This window comes from Homo sapiens, chromosome 15, assembly GCF_000001405.40.
Source record: "Homo sapiens chromosome 15, GRCh38.p14 Primary Assembly".
NCBI classification, from domain to species: Eukaryota; Metazoa; Chordata; class Mammalia; order Primates; family Hominidae; genus Homo; species Homo sapiens.
In genome coordinates, this window is record NC_000015.10 from 75,385,449 (window position 1) to 75,406,679 (window position 21,231).

The 21,231-nt window shown below is 43.3% G+C and overlaps 1 protein-coding gene and 1 pseudogene across 13 annotated transcripts in view; one reads left to right on the forward strand and one right to left on the reverse strand.

Annotated features, from left to right (window-relative positions):
- The window catches only part of SIN3A (SIN3 transcription regulator family member A), an 86,437-nt gene that overhangs the window by 16,070 nt on the left and 49,136 nt on the right, over window positions 1-21,231 (reverse strand). For 12 of the 13 annotated variants that reach the window (NM_001437463.1, NM_001145357.2, XM_047432362.1 and 9 more), the window contains 7 exons: window positions 16,404-16,522; window positions 15,282-15,492; window positions 14,592-14,708; window positions 10,810-11,048; window positions 9,232-9,415; window positions 6,794-7,367; window positions 4,204-4,373 (listed from right to left, as the gene is read on the reverse strand). In NM_001437463.1, coding sequence (NP_001424392.1) covers window positions 4,204-4,373; window positions 6,794-7,367; window positions 9,232-9,415; window positions 10,810-11,048; window positions 14,592-14,708; window positions 15,282-15,492; window positions 16,404-16,522 — 1,614 coding nt within the window. Of the gene's footprint in view, window positions 1-4,203; window positions 4,374-6,793; window positions 7,368-9,231; window positions 9,416-10,809; window positions 11,049-14,474; window positions 14,498-14,591; window positions 14,709-15,281; window positions 15,493-16,403; window positions 16,523-21,231 lie in introns of those variants that run through there. The other variant, XM_047432363.1, reaches the window with a different exon arrangement.
- Window positions 2,788-3,428, forward strand: RPL13P4 (ribosomal protein L13 pseudogene 4; annotated as a pseudogene).

Here is a 21,231-nt window from a genome sequence, read left to right on the forward strand (position 1 = left end):
GTAGCTTTTGTGACAATCTTAGGAAACTAATGACTAGAAAGTTGAACGTTTCAGAGTTCCCATTCTCATGTCATGCTATTTCTATTTTGAAATAAAAATCCTTCCAAATGAAACTTTATCATCAAAATGACAGAAGTGAAAAATAGATACAAGAAGAAAGCAAAACGTTAATTTCAATATTGATTTGTCTGTTTAAAAAACTTTAAGATGATCATAACCACCAAGCCATTCTATTTTTAGGAAGACACATTCTTTTTAAGTGTTAGGAACCATGATAACTATTTATTCTTAAGTCCTAAATGACCAGTATGTGTATTAGTAGATAACTGGACACAGTGAAAGGTCAGAACGGTGACTGAGTGTGGCAGAAAGGGCAGTATCTCCAGCAACTACAGATGGATAAATAAATCACAATGAGTCCAGATAAAGGATTCTGATACAACCATTAAAATAATGCTTATGAGTACCTGATATCATGAGGAAGATTAAGATACAGTGTTTTAGGAGAAAAAAGAAAAGGTGGAAAAAAACAGATGGAAAGCATGACTTCAATCATACATACAGATGCTTCCACTTTCTACTTTCTTTTTGAGACAGAGTCTCGCTCTGTCGCCCAGGCTGGAGTGCAGTGGCATCGTGATCTTGGCTCAGTGCAGCCTCAACTTCCTGGGCTCAAGCAACCCTCCCATACCTCAGCCTCTTAAGTAGCTGGGTCTACAGGCATGTGCCACCACGCCCAGCTAACTTTTTTGTATTTTCAGAAGAGACGGGGTTTTGCCATGTTGCCCAGTCTGATCTCAAACTTCTGAGCTCAAGTGATCCACCCGCCTTGGCCTCCCAAACTGCTGGGATTACAGGCGTGAGCCACCGCCTCTACTTTATACTTTCTTGTTGAAGTAGACTGTATTACTGATTCCCCACCCATACTCTCTTTTTGGATATCTGGCCCCTCCTCGAGTCTTCAGAAAAGACAGCACTACAAATCCAGAGACAGCTACGGAACTCCCACCCCCACTGCTAAGCAGATCAGATTCTCTATCTTGCTAATTGGAGATGACAGAGAGGGTGTTCAATAGATTTTTTGAGGAGGAGCATCTGTATGGAAAGGTCTAGTAACACTGGGACCAGGGGTACTGGGAGGGCAAGCCAAAGCCTCAGAGGCTGGAGGAGCCTGGAGCACATGCCGTATGTTCATCTGCAGAGCAAAGCACAAGCATGGAGCAGAAGTCCAGAGTGAAGGCATGCAGGAGAGAAAAATCACCTCCCAGCCCAATCCTTCCATGGTGTGGTCCTATTTTGAGTTCTGTACTTGGATGTCTGTGAGGTTGCCTATTGTATTCTTAATACAAATCCCTCTTAAGCCAGCCTACAATAGGTAAGATAAATGTAATGGCTTCACTTGGCTGGAATGCAGTGGTGCAATCACGGCTCACTGCAGCCTCAACTTCCTGGGTTCAGATGATCCTCCCACCTTAGCCTCCTGAGTAGCTGGGACTACAGGCATGTGCCACCATGCCCAGCTAATTTTTTGTATTTTTAATACAAATAGTGTTTCCCCATGTTGCCCAGGCTGGTCTCCAACTCCTGGACTCAATATATCTGCCCGCCTTGGACTCCCAAAGTGCTGGTATTAGAGGCATGAGCCACCATGACCAGCCTTGACTTTGAAATATATGTTGTACATTCAGTCAGCAGTGGAATCTGAGGGAACACCAAATATGAGGAGAATGAGAGAAGAGATACCTCCAGTTAAAGGAGTTGAGAAGCTTGAAAATGTTTTAAAAAGTCACTGTAGGCTGGGCACAGTGGCTCATGCCCGTAATCGCAGCGCTTTGGGAGGCTGAAGTAGGTGAATTGCTTGAGCCCATAAGTTTGAGGCCAGCCTGGACAACATGGCAAAACTCCATCTCTACAAAAAATACAATAAATTAGCCGGTGTGGTGGCCCCTTTGGTCCCAGCTACTTGGGAGGCTGAGGTAGGAGGTCAAGGCTACAGTGAGCTGATCACACCACTGCACTCCAGCCTGGGCAATAGAGTGAGACCCTGGGTTGGAAAAAAAAAAAAAAAAAAAGTCACTGTTTTGGGGTTTTCTGGATGAAACCTGTTTCCATTAAAAAAAAAAAAAAAAAGCGGGGGGTGGGTGGAGATAGTATTTATTACTGATTCAAAATCATAACCAGATACAGTAAATAATTGTAACTATTGTTTCGAAAACCAACCTCAGAATTATTAAAAGTTAGTTTTATTGGATTTTTTTTTTAAGCTGTGCTGGTGGTATGAAAGACTTCGTTCCTAGCTGAAGCAGCAGCAAGCCTGTAATCAGCAACATAAGCACAGGGTAACTGGAGTCTGTATTTTATATAAATTTCAGGGAAGTTAAGGAAGATTAGTCTGAAAAAGTATGACTATGGGTGACTATGTATCCATCTAATGATTTCTGCCAGTTACCATCCAGACCTCTTATGGGAAGGCCTAACAACTTCTTCAACTTATTGGAAACAACTATCTGACAACTTTCCCCCAGATGTTAAGGTTCATTTATATGAAGGGCTCTTCCTCAATCCTGTGTAGATACTGTGGGAGGAGTACAGAGGCATGCACCCTTCCAAAACCAAGGCAAAAGCATGGGTACTTTGCAAAGAATTCAATATTTTAGCCCAAGAGAACATTAAGCAACAAGCTCTTTCCTTCTACAGTGGCAGTGTGGATTCTAGAATTAGAAATTGCTTTTTACAAGTTTTCACTTAAGTACTTCACCGCCTTTCTGCTGAGCTATTCTATGGAAGAGGGCTGTAGGTAGCCACGGTACCCAGGTGGAACAGCATGATCCTAAAGCCCTACTTCCACAAGGAATCGCAGTGGCCCATGGCCACGTGGTTCAACCAGCCAGCCCAGAAGATCTGCAGATGCAAGCAAAAGTATACCACATTGACCTGCACCCTGCATCTGGACCCATCTGACCCATGGTAAGCTGCCCCACAGTGAGGTACCACACCAAAGTACAAGCTGGCAGGGGCTTCAGCTTAGAAGAGTTAAGGGTGACCAGCATCCACAAGAGGGTGGCATTAGTACACCATGTCCCTGTGGGCCAATGTTCAGCACCTGAAGGAGTTAAGACTCCAAGCTCAACCTCTTCTCCAGGAAGCTCTTAGCCCCCAAGAAGGGAGACAGTTCTGAAAAACTCAAATCAGCCACCCAGCTGACAGGACCAATAATGCCCATATAGTACGTCTATAAGAAGGAGAAAGCTGGAATCATCACTAAGAACTTTAAGGTATTTGCCAGTCTTCACACAGCCCACATCAATTTTCAGCTCTTTGGCATATGGGCAAAAAGGGCCAAGGGAGCCACAGAACAGGATGCTGAAAAGGAAAAATGAAGCCCTGCTGGGGACTTGCAGTCAATCAGCAGTAGAGCTGGGTCTCCAGAAAAAGAAAAAAGCAGTTAACCAACAATCTCTCTGGGAGTTCAGAACTCAAGTCCAAGAAGTAGAAATGTGACTATCTGTTACAAGCTATTTTTTATATCATTGTTGTAAAGAACAACATGTTTACAAGTTCCCAGGGTGCCACAGGAAGAACACACAAAACCAACCAGAAACCTAACTTAGAGGGAACCGCAGATGAGTGAGGTGGGCAGAGTATTATAAAAGATGTTATGTGAACCCTTTCTTATAAAAAGAATTTCAAATATTAAACAATGCAAGTACATAAGAGTTACCAACACCTTGACCAGGCGCAGTGGCTCGTGTCTATAATCCCAGCGCTTTAAGAGGCCAAGACAGGAGGATCACTTGAGACCAGAAGTTCAAGACCAGCCTGGGCAAAACAGTGACACCCTGTCTCTATTTAAGGAAAAAAAAAAAAAACTTACCAACACCTATGGAAGACGCAATGTTCCACACTGTGTGCTTACCCATGGCAGACAAGGTAAGAGATAGACAAGTTGTGCAGGAAGCTGGGGTCAGGACCACTGCACTCTACAGGTGGCCAGCAAGAAAGGATATGGGGTAGGCAGGCTCATACACTGCAACTTTGTTAACATGAGAAATCAGGCATCACATTAACCTCCCCTCCTCTCTTCAGAACCCTACGTTCATAAACACTGTTATATGAAAAAGTTGCCTTTCCTTTTCCTTGCGTGGCCCATCTCTAGGTAAGGATTTCTTCCCTTACTCACCCTAGCCTCCTCCATGCCCTCACCTGTCTGACAATGCTCTGGATCAGTTTGTCCATGGTAAAGGCAATGTAGGCATGAATGGTGAACATCTCTCTCAGTGAATCTTCATACTGTGATGAGTCTATGTTGCCATCCAGCAGGCTCCGCACCATGTCCAGGAAAGCTGGGTAATAATCTTCTACATCAACATCCACTGTGGGAGAGATGGGATTGGTGAGGCCTTACCTTGCTAAGAAAAGACTAGGGATAGAGTACAGGGCAAATCCCACAGCTGGCCTAAATGGCATTTGAAAGTATGAACACTAGGTATTCAAAATATACTCACTCATTCCAATGTAAACAGAGATGAATTCCGACAGGTGACTACAATCACCAGCACTATCAGAGTGACTCTGCAACTTTAACAGTGGCTTCTAATATTCTGACTACCATGCTAGAAAGATACTTCTTTATGGTACTGCTGGGCCACTTTCAGAGAGGAAAATATCCTAGGGAAGCCAGTCCTTCAAAGAGCTGTTGGCTCCCCTGCTGAGAGAGGAACCTACTCTCCCAGCCTGCACAAGAGCATTCCTCACATGGGTCACTTGCTCATAAAGCTATTTCAATGAAGCATAAAGTACAGATGAGGAAAGGCAGACACAGCCATACTCCAGCACTGGGAAACCTCTTGGGAACACAAAAATAGGAGTGCAAATTAAATCCTTTATGAATAATGAAGTAATCTGCATTTGTCAAAGTCCTTTTGTTTAAAAATGGATTCGCTACGTTGTATTTCACAAATTGCATTAAATCATCTGTAGTTGCTGCACATGAATCATTTCAATCACTAGCTAGAATAAATCTCATCAGTTGTTAAAGACATTTGGCAACTAGCAGAGGGCACAAGGAGTATTAAAGAGTGCTGCCTTTAGCTTACTAAAGACCCATTTATATAAAGTTCAAAAATAGACAAATCTAATCTCTAGTGTTAGAAATCAACAAAGTGGAAAAAGGACTGGTTATCAGAGTACTGGTTATGTTTCGTTTCTTGAACATAGGTACGTCTAGTCTGTAAAAATTCACTGAGCTGCACAATTCTGATTTGTATACTTTTCTATATATACATGCCGTACCTTATATGTATTTTTTTGTAGAGATGGGGTCTCACTTATTAACCAGGCTGGTCTCAAACTCCTGGCCTCAAGTGATCCTCCCACATCGGCCTCCCAAAGTGCTGGGATTACAGGTGTAAGCCACTGCACCCGGCCTATACATTGCACTTCAACAAAAAGTTGACTAAAATGAAAAAAGTTACAAAACGAACTATTTGTCACTGACTAATTGGTTACTTGCTAGTTGTGTTTGTGCTGGAGAAAAAAGGCTAGGAGCAAAACCAAGTTGTCTCCATTTATCTGAAGTCTGACGAATTCATTAAAAAACAGGCAAAACAGGACAAATACTGTTTAAAAGAGGCAACTGGCTTGAGTTTCATCACAGACTATCACATTCTTTAGCTCCATAGAATAGGTATAGGCTATAGACTCCAAAATATACCACTGCTATGAAAACTGCTTTTATGCCAGAATAAAGTTTTGAGTCCAAACCACAGATTTGTCCAAACAAGCTGTGGTAAGTGTGAGGGTTGGCATTATCAGACAAGACAACATTATGTAAGCCTCAAACCAGGTTAAGTCAGTGGCCAAGCCAGGAATAGGCCATTTAATTTCTAATTTCTACCCAAGTAGATGGAATCACCACAATGAGATCTAAAATTTATCTCTTTCGAGCTAGGACTAGTCTAGATAAAAGCTTTCAGAATTATTTTTCAGTGTCATTAGCTCCTCAACAGATAGAAAGCTAGGGCCATATCTGGGCTTCCTACATCAGCAACACATAAAAAAAAAAAAAAAGAAGAAGAAGATACACTCCTCAGGTTGGCTATTTCCTTAAGAGCCCAGAAGAAATGCTTCATGAAAAAGCTTTTGGCTCACAGCTCAAGTACCTAATTTATGACGTGAACTGGAAGCAGGCAGCACAAAATTACATAAAGCACATGACAGCGTCCTGAACCCTCACTTACTTTCCTTTTCCTGAGTTCTACATCTTTATCCCTGTCCTGCCTGTTCTCCATGTCTCATATCACCTTTTGAGTTCCAGTCTCCTTTCCATAAACTATTTCTACATATTAAGAATGAGCCATAAACCCCACTGGTTAAACAGAAGTCCTGCTCAAAAATATGAGAAAATTCTGTTTTAAGCACTAGGAATTTATGTTCTGTCATGGATTGAAATTGGCTGTGACAGTTTAGTCTCTATCTGTACTTTGAAACAGATGGCAGTAACCCAGAAATCTGCCATTTGAGAAATTAACTGTGATACCCCCTTCCCAGGTGCGTCCACAGTACCAACCACTGACCAAGTGTCCATGATCTAAGCCCTGCATAGGATACTTTGCACAAAGCAACACCACAAGCAACTAGAGCCTCCATTTTTCAGATAAACAGGTTCAGAGAGTTTAACTACACAGACTCTAATGCCTGTGCTCTATTAATAAAAGAAGCAGTCCCAAGTCTAGGTGGCTCTAAGGTCCTCAACCTCACACATCCTCTGTAAATCAGAGGTCTCGGCACTCACTAGGTTCTTTGAGACGTAGCTGAATGGCAGGGCTGTCACTCTTGTCTCGCTTTATGCCCAGCACTTCCCGTTCCCATTCTCTCTCTCGGTTTTCTTCTTCAATTTGCCGTTCGGCTTGGGAACAAATCCGTAGCAGCCTCAGGCAGAGAATCTGGTGCAGTCGCATAAAAATATACCAGTTGTTGTTGACATAGAAGAGGTTGTATACTTCATCCATTCCTCTTAATTTTTGAGCTGCTGTGTTACTAAACAGTAACTTGGACTTAGGGGGACTGCCCCCAACACCATTGTGCTTCTTAACTGCCCCTGTGGCTTCATCTACATCCATCTCTTCTTCTTCCTCTTCCTCCACATCTGAGAGATCACCTCTTTGGGCAAAGAGCAAATCTGGAATAAAATGATGCATGATTTGTTTTATCTTATATTTGTCCTCCTTCTGAATGCCTGTCTGCCTCTTCACATGGTGGATAATCAGAGCAGCAGCATCTTCCAGTATTTGTTTGTCTTCATACGCAAGTGAGAGGTGTGGGCCAACAGGTACACCAGCATTCTCCTCCGTAGCCTGCTCTTGCCTCTGATGGGACAGAGACACAAAAGTATTCTGTGAGATGTCTACAGCGACAACATGTCTACAAGACCACATCAGCCATACATCCCATTATCAACCACAGTGTCTATATTTTTCTAATCAAAAACTTAGGACCTGGGACTGGGAGCGGTGGCTCACGTCTATAATCCCAGCACTTTGGTAGGCCGAGGAGGGTGATCACTTGAGGTCAGGAGTTTGAGATCAGCCTGGCCAATATGGTGAAACCCCGCCTCTACTAAAAATAACAAAATTAGCTGAACATGGTGGTAGGTGCCTGTAATCCCAGCCCTTGGGATGCTAAGGCAAGAGAATCACTTGAACCCGTGAGGCAAAGGTTGCAGTGAGCCGAGATCGTACTACTGCACTCCAGCCTGGGCAACAGAGTGAGACTCTGTCTCAAAACAAAACTTAGGACCTGACTATAACAATAATTTTTGTCCCTCTTCCAGAAACAAATAGGTAATGACAGAGACGTGGTTTGATGTCAAAATACAGGTACCTTCTACACACTGATGACTTACAGGGAGAGTAGGACAGAATTGGAACCATCTTTCTTTCTTTTTTTTGGCAGGGTCTTGCTCTGTCACCCAGGCTGGAGTGCAGTGGAGCAATCTTGGCTCATTGTAACCTCCGTCTCCCGGGTTCAAGCCATTCTTATGCTTCAGCCTCCTGAGTAGCTGGGATTAAGAAGTGCACCACCATGCCAGGCTAATTTTGTATTTTTAGTAGAGATGAGGTTTCACCATGTCGGCCAGGCTGGTTTCGAACTTCTGGCCTCAAGTTATCTGTCCACCTCAGCCTCCCAAAGTGATGGGATTACAGGCGTGAGCCACTGTGCCCAGTGGGACTATCTTTCAAAATTCTGGATTAGTATCTATATAAAGGATATGATATGAGATCTGTGATTTACTTTACTTCTGGGGTGGGGGTATGGAGGGTGACAAAGTAACATCAGCAAAATATGGAGGATTAAGTTTATTTATTTTATTGATTTTGAGACGGAATCTTGCTCTGTCACCCAGACTGGAGTGCAGTGGCATGTTCTCAGCTCACTGCATCCTCCACCTCCCAGGTTCAAGCCATTCTCCCACCTCATTCTGCCGAGTAGCTGGGACTACAGGTGCACACCACCACGCCTGGCTAATTTTTGTATTTTTAGTAAAGACGGGGTTTCGTCATGTTGGCTGGGCTGGTCTCTAACTCCTGACCTCAGGTGATCTGCCCGCCTCAGCCTCCCAAAGTGCTGGGATTACAGGCATGAGCCACTGTGCCCGGCCTGATTAAGTTCACATAAGAGCTCATTTTACTATTTTTAAAGTTCAGGATCACCCCACTCCAGGAATTCCCAATTGCACTGCATTTATGTTTCTATCCATCTCCTAAAACTGAGCCCACGGAAACCAGGATTTATTGCTTATTCATCTCTGATCCTAGCTCCTAGTACTATTTATAGTCCTGGTAGGCATGCTGAATAAGCAAGGATTACAAAGAGTTTGGTGGTCAATGACAAATTTTGAAGCTGTAAGTAAGGAGAGATGGGACTATATGGATACAAGGTATTATTGTTTGAAGGAAACAGGTAGTCGGAGAAGTGGAAAATGGAGGCAGGAGGTATAAGTTGAAACCAGGACAGTAAACTAGGAAACTAGTCAAACAGCTTAGGTATAAAGGTATAGTTTAGATTTAAAATGGTAGAATGAGGAATAGAAAAGGCTATGACAGCTATCAAGCAAGAATCAACAGGTCTTAGAGAGTCTCACCTGCATTTAACAAAGGTAATTTCCAGAAATCAAAGCTGTGCTAAATATAGACTAGAGTCCTCTCACAGATGCAGAAACCCCCCGCTCACCTCATCATAGATACTCTCAATCTCATTGAGTAAGCTCTTAGACCTCAGGACCTTGGTGTCATTCTGTTTAAAGTTGATCCCCTGGTGGTCCAGAGACTTCAAGTAGTATTTCTCATTTTGTTCTCGCCATACTTTGTTAAAGCCTCTCTGAGCTTCTCGCCATTCTTCCTCTTTCATCTTCAACCTAGTGAAGCGGGAAGGGATGGAAACAACACATGGGAATTCAGAGGGTTTAGAAGAAAGAAATTTGCCAGGCTTACTTTAGTTAAAGAAAGGTGCAAAGCTATATTAGGTCTCTCAAAATTACTGGCAACTTGGGATGCTATCAAACCAGTCTTGAACTCTGTTTCATGAGGGAATTACTCATCCAAGACTTACTTTGAGGAAATGATTTATCTCAAAGTCAAATAATTTACCTAGAATGGTTACTTAAAAACAGCATTCCAGGGAATATCTTTCAGGTATAAGTATTCCTTGAAAAAAAGAGTTCTTGTTTCTTTGCTATAGGACTTTGCAAAACGTTCACAATGCTAATAGAAACACAGAAGTCCAAGACAAGAGAACTTGCACAGTTATGTTCCTCTGGATACAGTCAGGAAAGTTCTGATCAGAACTGATTCTAATAACCCAGAAGAGAACAGACTAAGACAAAAAAAAGCACTAAAACTGAAGAATAACCTGTATCTCAAAAGCCAGAAGTTAAATGCTACAGGCAAGAAGAAGAAACCATCAATCTGTGCCAGCTCTTGAGGGGAAGATGAGGGAGAAGAAACCATCAATCTGTGCCAGCTCTTGAGGGGAAGATGAGGGAGGACAAATCAAATCTGGGTATTTGTGAACTGTGCAGCAAATAAGAATTAATTTTTACCAGATGATACTGAGAGAGAACCAAGCTCCTAACAAAGGATTCACAGTGTGGTCAATAATGACATGGGGCTGGGTGTGGTGTGGCTTGTGCCTGTAATGCCAGCACTTTGGGGAGGCCAAGGCAGGAGGATTGCTTGAGCCCAGGAGTTAGAGGCCAGCCTGGGAAATATAGCAAGACCTCATCTCTATTAAAAAAAATAAAATAAAAATTAGCTGGGTGTGGTGGCACATTCCTGTAGTCCCAGCTATTCGGGAGGCTGAGGTGGGAGGATCACCTGAGCCTGGGAAGTTGAGGCTGCAGTGAGCTGTGTTCACACTACTGCACTCCAGCCTGGGTGAAAGAGTGAGATCTTGTCTCAAAACAAAACAAAACAAAAACAAACAAACCACAAAGATGTTAACAACAGTTAGTCCTGAGTGTGGCAGGAACATGGGTGGTAATTATCTTCTTTTCTTTTCTGTATTTTAAAATACTCCCCCAAACATACACACAGAGCCTTCCACCATGAACTTACAAGATTTGTTCTCTAATGTTGGTTACACAGGACCCCCAAAAGAAGTTCCATTCTGCACCTGAATTCCAACAACCAGGGTTGGGGAGAAAGAGAGGTCTCATGGGACAACCAGGTTGAAAATGAGAGCCTTATTTAATGAGACACTGAACCGGTAGTGAAGTACACTAAAGCACTAAGGGCACATTTGCTCATGTACCTTTTAAGGACAATTGGAACAGCAATGGAGGGATTCTTTCTCAGACCATCAATGATGTCAGCTGCTTTATCAGCATATATCCTCTGGAGTGCTTTTCTATGGATGACTTCTGATGTGCCCCCAAGGGTGTTGTCCAAGCGAAATTTGGCTTGTTCTTCAGCAGACAAGCGGGAAAGCTTCTTCTGTATTGCTTCCAGAACCCGGATTGTTGCCAGATTGGTCTCTAAAACTACATCAAGCTGAAGAGGAAGACAAAGAAGGGTATGCTCAGGACCCAAATCAAAATAGAATAGAGTAGTGTTTAGAAGAATAAGGTAGGGAGTCAAACTCCTTGGATTTGAATCCTGGTTCTGCCCTACTAGCTACATAAGACTGTTTCTTTATCAGCAAAATAGGGATAACAGCACCTATTACTCTCACAACCCTGTGTCTGGATTAAATGATACAATCCACATAAAGTATTTAGCACAATACCTGGCACATAAGAACCACAGGATGAAGTTGGATAAATGGTAGTTATTACCACCACCGTCGCTGCTGCCGCCACCACCACCGTGTGCTTTGCTTAGGACTACTGATTTTAGACCAGAGGAACCAAACAGGAGATGACTTTACTGAAACGTTTCCCTGAACTTTCCTGAATTGCTAAGATCCATTATGAACAAACAATAACAATCAAAACAATCCCAAAAGACCGCTTTGTCTTGAGAGTTTTTTGGTTTAACTTGAAATATTTAAATATATTCAAATACTTAAATATTCAATAGCCTTGTTCCACATCCAGTAATAATAAGAGCAGTGACTATCATAACTTAAGGAGTTCACTGTTGTAGCTGCGGGTAACCATTTAAATTCTTATTGGACTCCTGGCAACCTTTGAGTCTACTTTTTCCCTAGCTTAAAATAAGGTTCTCTAAATGAGAAACAGAAAATGAAGTAAATGAGCAGTCTCAACGGTCTACAACCAACTGTTTGCAGAAGTGTTCCCTAAGTTTTCTTGTTTTGGGAATGTGGTAGTCATTTGGTCAATATTTCTGGCCCCTCTTGCTCTCCAATTATGAACAAAAAATGGACTAAACTTCCTGGCTCCCTTATGATTGGATAGGGCCATGTAACTAGTTTTGACCAATGAGTTGTTATGAGATGAGTAGAAGTAATGTTTATTACTTCTAGGCTGCAGCATTTAAAGGTGTGAGATCATTCCAAGCTCTCTTTTCCTCCTAGTGACTAGCAACATTCATAATGGCAGCAATCCCTTGGCCTGAATCCCCAAGTAATTCTGATATGCCAAATCCCCTGCTAAACATCAATGTACATGTAGAATGATTAGAAATTAAACCCATTGGTTTTACAAGTCACTCAGATGTGGGAGTTGTCTGTACTGAGGCATTACTAACCTATCTTGATTGGTAACGCACATTCCTTCAAACTAGCTCATCCCACCAAATCTTAAACACATGCACACCCCACTTCTTTCATGTTTGCCCTTGTAGTCACAAATGGGAAATGAAGTTGCCTCTCATTTGGAGGCATACCAGCTGAGAGAGGATAGGAACACTCTGTCAAAAACAAATGCCAAGCTCTGCTAAACTCATCAGTTAACCTTACTAAACGTAAGTAACAAAGAAATGCCTTCTTTAGCTTGATAACACTCCCTATGGAAGTTAACATCTGTCTTGATTTAGCTTTCTGCAAATAGGTGCAACTCCTTATAAATGCTGGGGCAAAGATGGCCAACCACCTGCCAGTGGCCAGGCAGCATGTGGTTCTCAATTAAAAACACACCAGAAACTGCTGAACCAAGTGTGAGGCGGGAAAACTGGCAAAGAGCTAAAAGAGTACCAAAACAAACAAACAAACAAACAAAAACCAGCAAGATACCTATCCACACAAGTAAGCACAGCCAGTCAATTTAATGTAACAGATACACTAAATAGGATACGTATCATTTTACATCTTTAGACAAACCAGACTTCCCTTTTTAAAAATGATAATGTAAACCAGACATATAAACACACTGAGGATTGAGCCCACTTTCAGTAGTCCCTCTCCTGATATAGGTGGTATGGGGCCTTCTACCACCTCATTTATTCACTCCACTCTTCCCTTCCTAATTACTTCAAAATAAAGCTCCTGGGACAGGCGCAGTGGCTCACACTTGTAATCCCAGCACTTTGGAAGGCCAAGACGGGTGGGTCACTTGAGGTCAGGAGTTCAAGACCAGCCTGGTCAACATGGTGAAACCCATCTCCACTAAAAATACAAAAAAAATTAGCCGGGTGTAGCGGCATACACCTGTAGTCCCAGATACTTGGGAGGCTGAGGCAGGATAATGGCTTAAACTCGTGAGGCAGAGGTTGCAGTGAGCCGAGATCACACCACTGCACTCCAGCCTGGTTGACAGAGCAATACTCTGTCTTTAAAAAGAAAGGGGTCCCTAATTTAGCCTTCTTTCAAAAGGAGCCAATCAGGCCAGGTATGGTGGCTCATGTGTGTAATCCCAGCACTTTGGGAGGCCAGGGTGGGATGATCGCTTGGACCCAAGAGTTTGAGACCAGCCTGGGTAATGTAGTAAAACACTGTTTCTATAAAAAACAAAAAATTAGCCACAGGGGGTAGGAGGCAAGGGGAGGGAGAGCATTAGGACAAATACCTAATGCATGTGGGGCTTAAAACCTAGATGATGAGTTGATAGGTGCAGCAAACCACCAAAGCACATGTATATCTATGTAACAAACCTGCACGTTCTGCACATGTATCCCAGAATTTAAAGTTTAAAAAAAAAAAAAAAAAATTTACCCAGGCATGGTAGCACATGCCTGTAGTCCCAGCCACTCGGTGGCGGGTAGGGGTGGGGGTCTGAGGTGGGAGGATCACACTTGAGTCTGGAAGGTTGAGGCTGCAATGAACTGTGATTGTGCCACTGCACTGCAGCCTGGGCAATAGAATGAGACCCTGTCTCAAAAAAACAAAACAAAACAAAGCAATCAGCTGGGCGCAGTGGCTCACACCTGTAATCCTAGCACTTTGGGAGGCCGAGACGGGTGGATCACGAGGTCAGGAGATCGAGACCATCCTGGCTAACACGGTGAAACTCCGTCTCTAATAAAAATACAAAAAATTAGCCGGACGTGTTGGCGGGCGCCTGTAGTCCCAGCTACTCGGGAGGCTGAGGCAGGAGAATGGCATGAACCTGGGAGGCAGAGCTTGCAGTGAGCCGAGATTGCGCCACTGCACTCCAGCCTGGGAGACAGAGCGAGACTCCGTCTCAAAAAAACAAAACAAAACAAACAAACAAACAAACAAAAAACAACAAAGCAATCAATACCAGAAACATGAAAGAAAAATGCCAGTTCTCAGAGCTGGTTTGCTAACCATGGCAAGATACTTGCTAAGGGTAACAATACACACAGATCTTAAATAATTTAAAAACAGCTTCAAGAAAGTACTATAAACCTTAGGATACTGATTTTCTTCACCATGCAAAACATAATAATCTTAAAATGCCATGCAAAATCAAAAGAACTATTATTTAGTCATCAATGGACAATTTCAGTTAAAAGGGCTAAAGTGGCCTAGATAAGTCACATTTGCCATAAAGCATGTACTAATATATACATTTGACCAATGCATAAAGCATGGAAAGTACCACAACAAGCACTTACCATAGAAGAATGTGAGCCTTTGGCTCTTCCATCTTAATAACCCTCAGAGACAGGTACTGATAGTCTCACTGAGCATCTCCCATTTCCCCCAACTTCAAATGCCAAACAAGCTTGTACCTCAAAGCGTTCATCTTCACAACGATAAATATGTTCTTCATATTGAGTCTTCTTGGAACTCACAAAGGTAGAGTCCTCAGACCACGAAGGGAAGGAAACCCAGGTATCATTTAAAACCTTTGGGTAGAAGAAGAGAGACTGAAACAAAAGCCTAAAAAAGCTTTCTGGTGATTAAGCATTCTGAATGAAAAGACAAAACTCTAGCAGAGAAATAGGCAACTAATATTACTTCACAAATTTCACCTTTAGCAAGTTTACAAAAAGCTATTAGTAAGAAAAGGGTGCTGAATATAAGCGGAAATATAATTCCAGTGCTTTGGGAGGACGAAGCAGGAAGATCACCTGAGCCCAGGAGGAGTGACCCAATCTTTACAAAACTAAAAACTTTTATTTTTATATTTTTAGCTGGGTGTGAAGGCATGTGTAAGTCCCAGGTACTTGGGAGGATCATTTGAGCCCAGGAGGTTGAGGCACTATGAGCCGTGATCACATCACTGCACTACAGCCTGGGTGACAAAACGAAACCCTGTCTCAAAAACAAACAAAAAAGTAGAAAACATTTTCTTTTTAAAAAGGATTAAAAGGGTTCTTAATTTCATCATTCATATAAATTCTCAATCCTTGGTACCACCACTCCCTTCTGGAAAAAGCTGAGGACCCAGGGCTGATCTTTGCTAGGGAAGGCCTTACCTCTTTACAGAGAGGAGTCCGTCCTGTACACTTGGGCTGCTGGTAACTCTTTGGTAAGGCTCGATAGCTGGAGCCCAATCGTTTACAAGAAGCATAATCTATCTCCATAGCAATGCCCTCTGTGGCTCGCTCCTTTGGATAAGTTTCCAGATGTACAGACTCCTTATAGCCCAGAAAGTTTTTAAACCAATTAAACAACTCAGGGAATTTCCTGAAGAATCAAACCAAAAAGTGACAAGCAATTAGGGGCAGGATGCAGTTATCCTGAGGTATGACTACTACCATCTGGTTTTGGATCAGAAATCTGCTACCAGGGATGAATTATTTCCTGCCTAAGAAGAACTGCTTCTGAGCATTTGGTTTCCCCTTTTTCTAATAAAATACTCTCAGATCAGTTAAAGTGGTGATCAAAGAGTTGTACCGAAACCAGGCAAAATAACAAGCCATTCTTTTGATCAAGAATATTGCTTTAATGTTCACATAATTCTTAGGTTGTCAAATATAGTAAAGATTCCAGACTCGGTGTAGTGGCTCATGCCTGTAATCCCAGCACTTTGGGAGGCCGAGGCAGGTGGATTACCTGAGGTCAGGAGTTCTGGACCAGCCTGGCCAACATGGTAAAACACCGTCTCTACTAAAAAACATAACAAAAATTAGCCGGGCGTGTGGTGACAGGCACCTGTAATCCCAGCTACTTGGGGGGCCGAGGCAGGAGAATCACCTGAACCCAGGAGGCGGAGGTTGCAGTGAGCCAAGATCATGCCATCACACTCCAGCCTGGGGAACAAGAGTGAGACTTCATCTCAAAAAAAAAATAATAATAATAATTTTTAAAAAAATTCCAGAACTCTGGGAGAGATTTTTCTTGATAAACATCCAGCACTGGTTAGAAGATCAGGAGACCACTAGTCTTGGCCATTAGTCGATAAATACTTAATGCCCTCTCTATTTTCTCATCTCTAGAGCTGGACTAGAAGACTTCTCAGGACTCTTCTGGCACTAACATTTGAGTCAACTGATGTATCTCAAGTAAATTAACTTTGCCTATCATATACTCTCACAAATCAAACATTACCTGGTCTCCATATCATGCATCAGGGCTAAGCCCCTCACTTCACTTACCCCAGGAAAGGAGAGACTAGTTGCACAAGCTCAGCACGAGAGATCACCTCCTGGTTAAAAATAACAAGACAGCGTAGGAAATTTTCGTAGGCTTCTGCACTCCGAAGAGCCTTTCGGACCTTATGGAGACAACGGGAAGAAAAACAGTTTTTGTTTTTCTTAAAGTGGGGAACTGAAAAGGGCCTCGCTCTGTCGCCCAGGAGGAGGCGCAGTTGTGTAATCTCAGCTCACTGCAGCCTCCCATCCTCAGCCTCCCAAGTAGCTGGGACTACAGGTGTGAGCCACCATGCCTGGCTAATTTCTAAATTTTTTGCAGAGACGAGGTCATATATTGCCCAGCTGCCCTGCCATTAGTTTTTAAAAACTGGGGAAATTTGTGGCTGGGCGTGGTGGCTCATGCCTATAATCCCAGCACTTTGGGAGGCCAAGGTGGGTGGATCACTGGAGGCCAGGACTTCGAGCCCAGACTGGCCAACATGCTGAAACCCCGTCTCTACTAAAAATACAAAAATTAGCCAGGCATGGTGGCACACGCCTGTAATTCCAGCTACTTGGGTGGCTGAGTGAAACATAAGATTATCACTTGAACCCTGGAGGCAGACGTTGCAGTGAGCTGGGATAATGCCACTGTACTCCAGCCTGGGTGACAGAGCAAGACTCTGTCTCATAAGTAAAAAAATAAAATAAAAACGGGGAAATTTAAACTGATATTTGATGACACTAAGGAATCAACGTTAGTGTTTTTAGATGTGATAATGATTATGTTTGCAATAAGGAGTTTTTTTGTTTTGTTTTGTTTTTTAAACGCAGTCCAGCACTGTTGCCCAGGCTGAAGTGCAGTGGTGCGATCTCAGCTCACTGCAACCTCTGCCTCCTGGGTTCAAGCAATTCTCCTGCCTCAGCCTCCCAAGTAGGTGGGATTACAGGCATGTGCTACTACACCCGGATAATTTTTCTATTTTTAGTAGAGACGAGGTTTCACCGTATTGGCTAGGCTAGTCTCAAACTCCTGACCACAAGTGATCCACCCGCCTTGGCCTCCCAAAGTGCTGGGATTACAGGCGTTTGAGCCACTGTACCCAGCCACAAAAAGGAGTCATTTTTAAAAGAAACTTACTAAAATATGTATGGATGAAATAAGGTATCTGCGATTTGTCTCCAAATAAACTGGGATGGGTGGGAATATATATGAAACAAGTAACTGGCTAGAATTGGGAACCGCTAAAGCTGGATGGTAGGTACGTGAGGAATCATTTTACTATTCTGTTTATGTATGTTCAAAATTTTCCAGCTGGGCGCAGTGGCTCACGCCTGTAGTCCCAGCACTTTGGGAGGCCGAGGTGGGTGGATCACCTGAGATCGGGAGTTTGAGACCAGCCTGGCCAACATAGTGAAACCCCATTCTACTAAAGAAAAAAATACAAAAAAATTAGCTAGGCGTGGTGGTGGGCACCTGTAGTCCCAGTGACTCAGGAGGCTGAGGCAGGAGAATCGCTTGAACCCAGGAGGCAGAGGTTGCAGTGAGCCAAGATCACGCCACTGTACTCCAGCTTGGGCAATAAGAGCGAAACTCCGTCTCAAAAAAAAAATACCATAATAACAATTTAAAAACTGAGATCTCGGAGTATACCTTCTCATATGCTTGATTCTCCACACCATATCAGAGTTACTCAGGTTTTTGTTGCCTCTTTTTCTTTTTTTTTTTTGAGACCGAGTTTCACTATTGTTGTCCTGGCTGGAGTGCAATGGCGCGATCTCAGCTCACTGCAACCTCTGCCTCCCGGGTTCAAGCGATTCTCCTGCCTCGGCCTCCCGAGTAGCTGGGATTATAGGCACCTGCCACAACGCCCAGCTAATGTTTTTTTTGTATTTTTAGTAGAGACGGGGTTTCACCATGTTGGCCAGGCTGGTCTTGAACTCCTGACTTCAGGTGATCCACCCACCTCGGCCTCTCAAAGTGCTGGGATTACAGGCGTGAGCCACTGCGTCCGGCCTGTTGCCTCTCTTAACATGTTTACAGCAAGAATCTTTGCCAAGGCTGTTTTAAACTCTGGTAATCTGGAATAACGCTCTCTTAAGATAGTTCTGTCCTCTGATCTGGTCTTTTTTCTTCCTCTATTTACAATATTGAGCATCTTAATACCAAAAACCCAAAAATGATCAATGGCATAGACAAAGTAAAACTAGTCTAGCTAGATTACCAATCTGGAGTTTCAGTTCCAAAATAAGTATTTAGCACTGTGATCCTTTGGTGAAGACCACAGACTGCCACCAAACCAAGTGGCTTATCAGCAACCCCTGCTCCAGACTTCCGTATGCTTTTCTTAACTATTCATCAGTAGACACTATATAGAATCTAGACTTTTAAAGCTAAAGATAAAAGAACACTGTACCTTTTATACTGTATACCCTATTTACCTTTACTTTTTATTAGCTTTTAAACATACACAAAAGTAGACAGAAGTATAACGAACCTATGTACTCACCCCAACCTCAATGATCTATAGTAAATTTTGTTTCATCTATACTTACTTCTCCTACCACTGCATTTTAAAGCAAATTCCAGACATTTCATCTAGATATAGTATATATGTTTAAGAAAAAGTACTAAGAAAATGCCATTACAGGACTGGGTGCAGTGGCTCACGCTTGTAATCCCAACACTTTGGGAGGCCAAGGCAGGCGGATCACCTGAGGTCAGGAGTTCGAGACAGCCTGGCCAACATAGTGAAACCCTGTCTCTACTAAACATACAAAAATTAGCTGGGTGTGGTGGTGGGCGCCTGTAATCCCAGCTACTCGGGAGGCTGAGGCAGGAGGATTGCGTGAACCCGGGAGGTGGAGGTTACAGTGAGCCCAGATCACACCATTGTACCCCAGCCTCAGCAATGGAGTGAGACTGTCCCAGAAAAAAAATAAAAAAAAAACAAAAAAACAAAAACAAAAACAAAAAACCCATTACTCTTAGAAATTAACTTATTTTCAGAAGACTCCTTAAGGCAAGGCATGGTGGCTCACACCTGTAATCTCAACACTTTGGAAGGCAAATGCTGAGGCCGAAGGAGGAGGATTGCCTGAGCCCAGGAGTCTGAGACCAGCCAGGGCAAAACATTGAGACCCCCTCTCTCCAAAAAAATTTTAAAAATTAGCTGAGTGTGGTGGTCTGTACCTGCAAGTCCCAGCTACTCAGGAGGGTAAGAAGGATCACTTGAGCCCATCTCTTAAATAAAAAAGGCCAGGTGTGGTGGCTCACACCTGTAATCCCAGCACTTTGGGAGGCGAAGGAGGGCTGATCACCCGAGGTCAGGAGTTCAAGACCAGCCTGGCCAACACAGTGAAACCTCATCTCTACTAAAAATATAAACATTAGCCAGGCGTTGTGGCGGGGCCTGTAATCCTAGCTACTCAGGAGGCTGAGGCAGGAGAATCGCTTGAACCCAGGAGATGGAGGTTGCACTGAGCCAAGATCACACCACTTCACTCCAGCCTGGGCAACAAGAGCGAGACTCTGTCTAAAAAAAAAAAAAAACCCAAAAATGTAAAAAAGATTCCTTAATAGCATCTAATATTGAGTCCGTGTCAAGTTCAATTGTCTAATTAATGTCTTAAAAATTGGCTATTGGCCAGGTGTGGTGGCTCACACCTGTAATCCCAGCATTTTGGGAGGCTGAGGTGGATCACCTGAAGCCAGGAGTTCAAGACCAGCCTGGCCAACATGGTGAAACCCTGTCTCTACTAAAAATGAAAAAATTAGCTGGGCACGGTAGTAGGCGCCTGTAGTCCCAGCTGTTTGGGAGGCTAAGGCTGGAGAATCGCTTGAGCCAGGGAGGCGGAGGTTGCAGTGAGCCAAGATTGCGCCATTGCACTCCAAGCTGGGCAACAGAGTGAGGCTCTGTCTCAAAAATAAAAATAAAAATAAAAATAAATCAGCTTTTAAATTCAGAATCCAAAGTCTGCATGTCACATTTGGCTTATATATTTCTTAATTCTTAATTTATAATAGCTTCCCTTCCATACCCTTTTCTTGACATTTATTGGTTGTGATCTAGACTTCCACACTTGTCTAAGAGCACCAACCGCCCAAGCAGACTTTGGTAATGATTCACATCAGAGCTAAGGACTCAACACTCTTGCAGGACTCTCCTGCAAAAAGCTCACATAGGCACAGCAGACAGAAAGGGATCAGGAGATACTAATCACGGAGATGTTAAATCATCTGCCCTTCTGCAAAACCCAAGAGGCAGAAAATAGAGTCAATCACCACAGATCAATCCAGGTTGATTCCTACCAGTGAGAAGCCCAACAGGTGCCAGCTACCCTGATGAAAGTTTCCTGCTAATCATCAAGTTGACTCCGAGGAGCAAATCACACTTAAGTTTATGTGGCCAAACTAAGGCACCACACAACATCATTTATGCCAATAATCTCAACTCTCGTTGCTCATTAGAATCAGCTGGGTAGCTTTGAAAACATGCAAGTAAATTAGAATTCCCCTGAATGCTATGTATGTGTGTACTACAAATAACTATCACAGCAATAAGATTACAAGTCATCGGCCAGGCGCGGTGGCTCACGCCTGTAATCCCAGCACTTTGGGAGGCCGAGGCGGGCGGATCACGAGGTCAGGAGATCGAGACCATCCTGGCTAACACGGTGAAACCCCGTCTCTACTAAAAATACAAAAAATTAGCCGGGCGAGGTGGTGGGCGCCTGTAGTCCTAGCTACTCGGGAGGCTGAGGCAGGAGAATGGCGTGAACCCCAGGAGGCGGAGCCTGCAGTGAGCCGAGATTGCGCCACTGCACTCCAGCCTGGGCGACAGCGAGACTC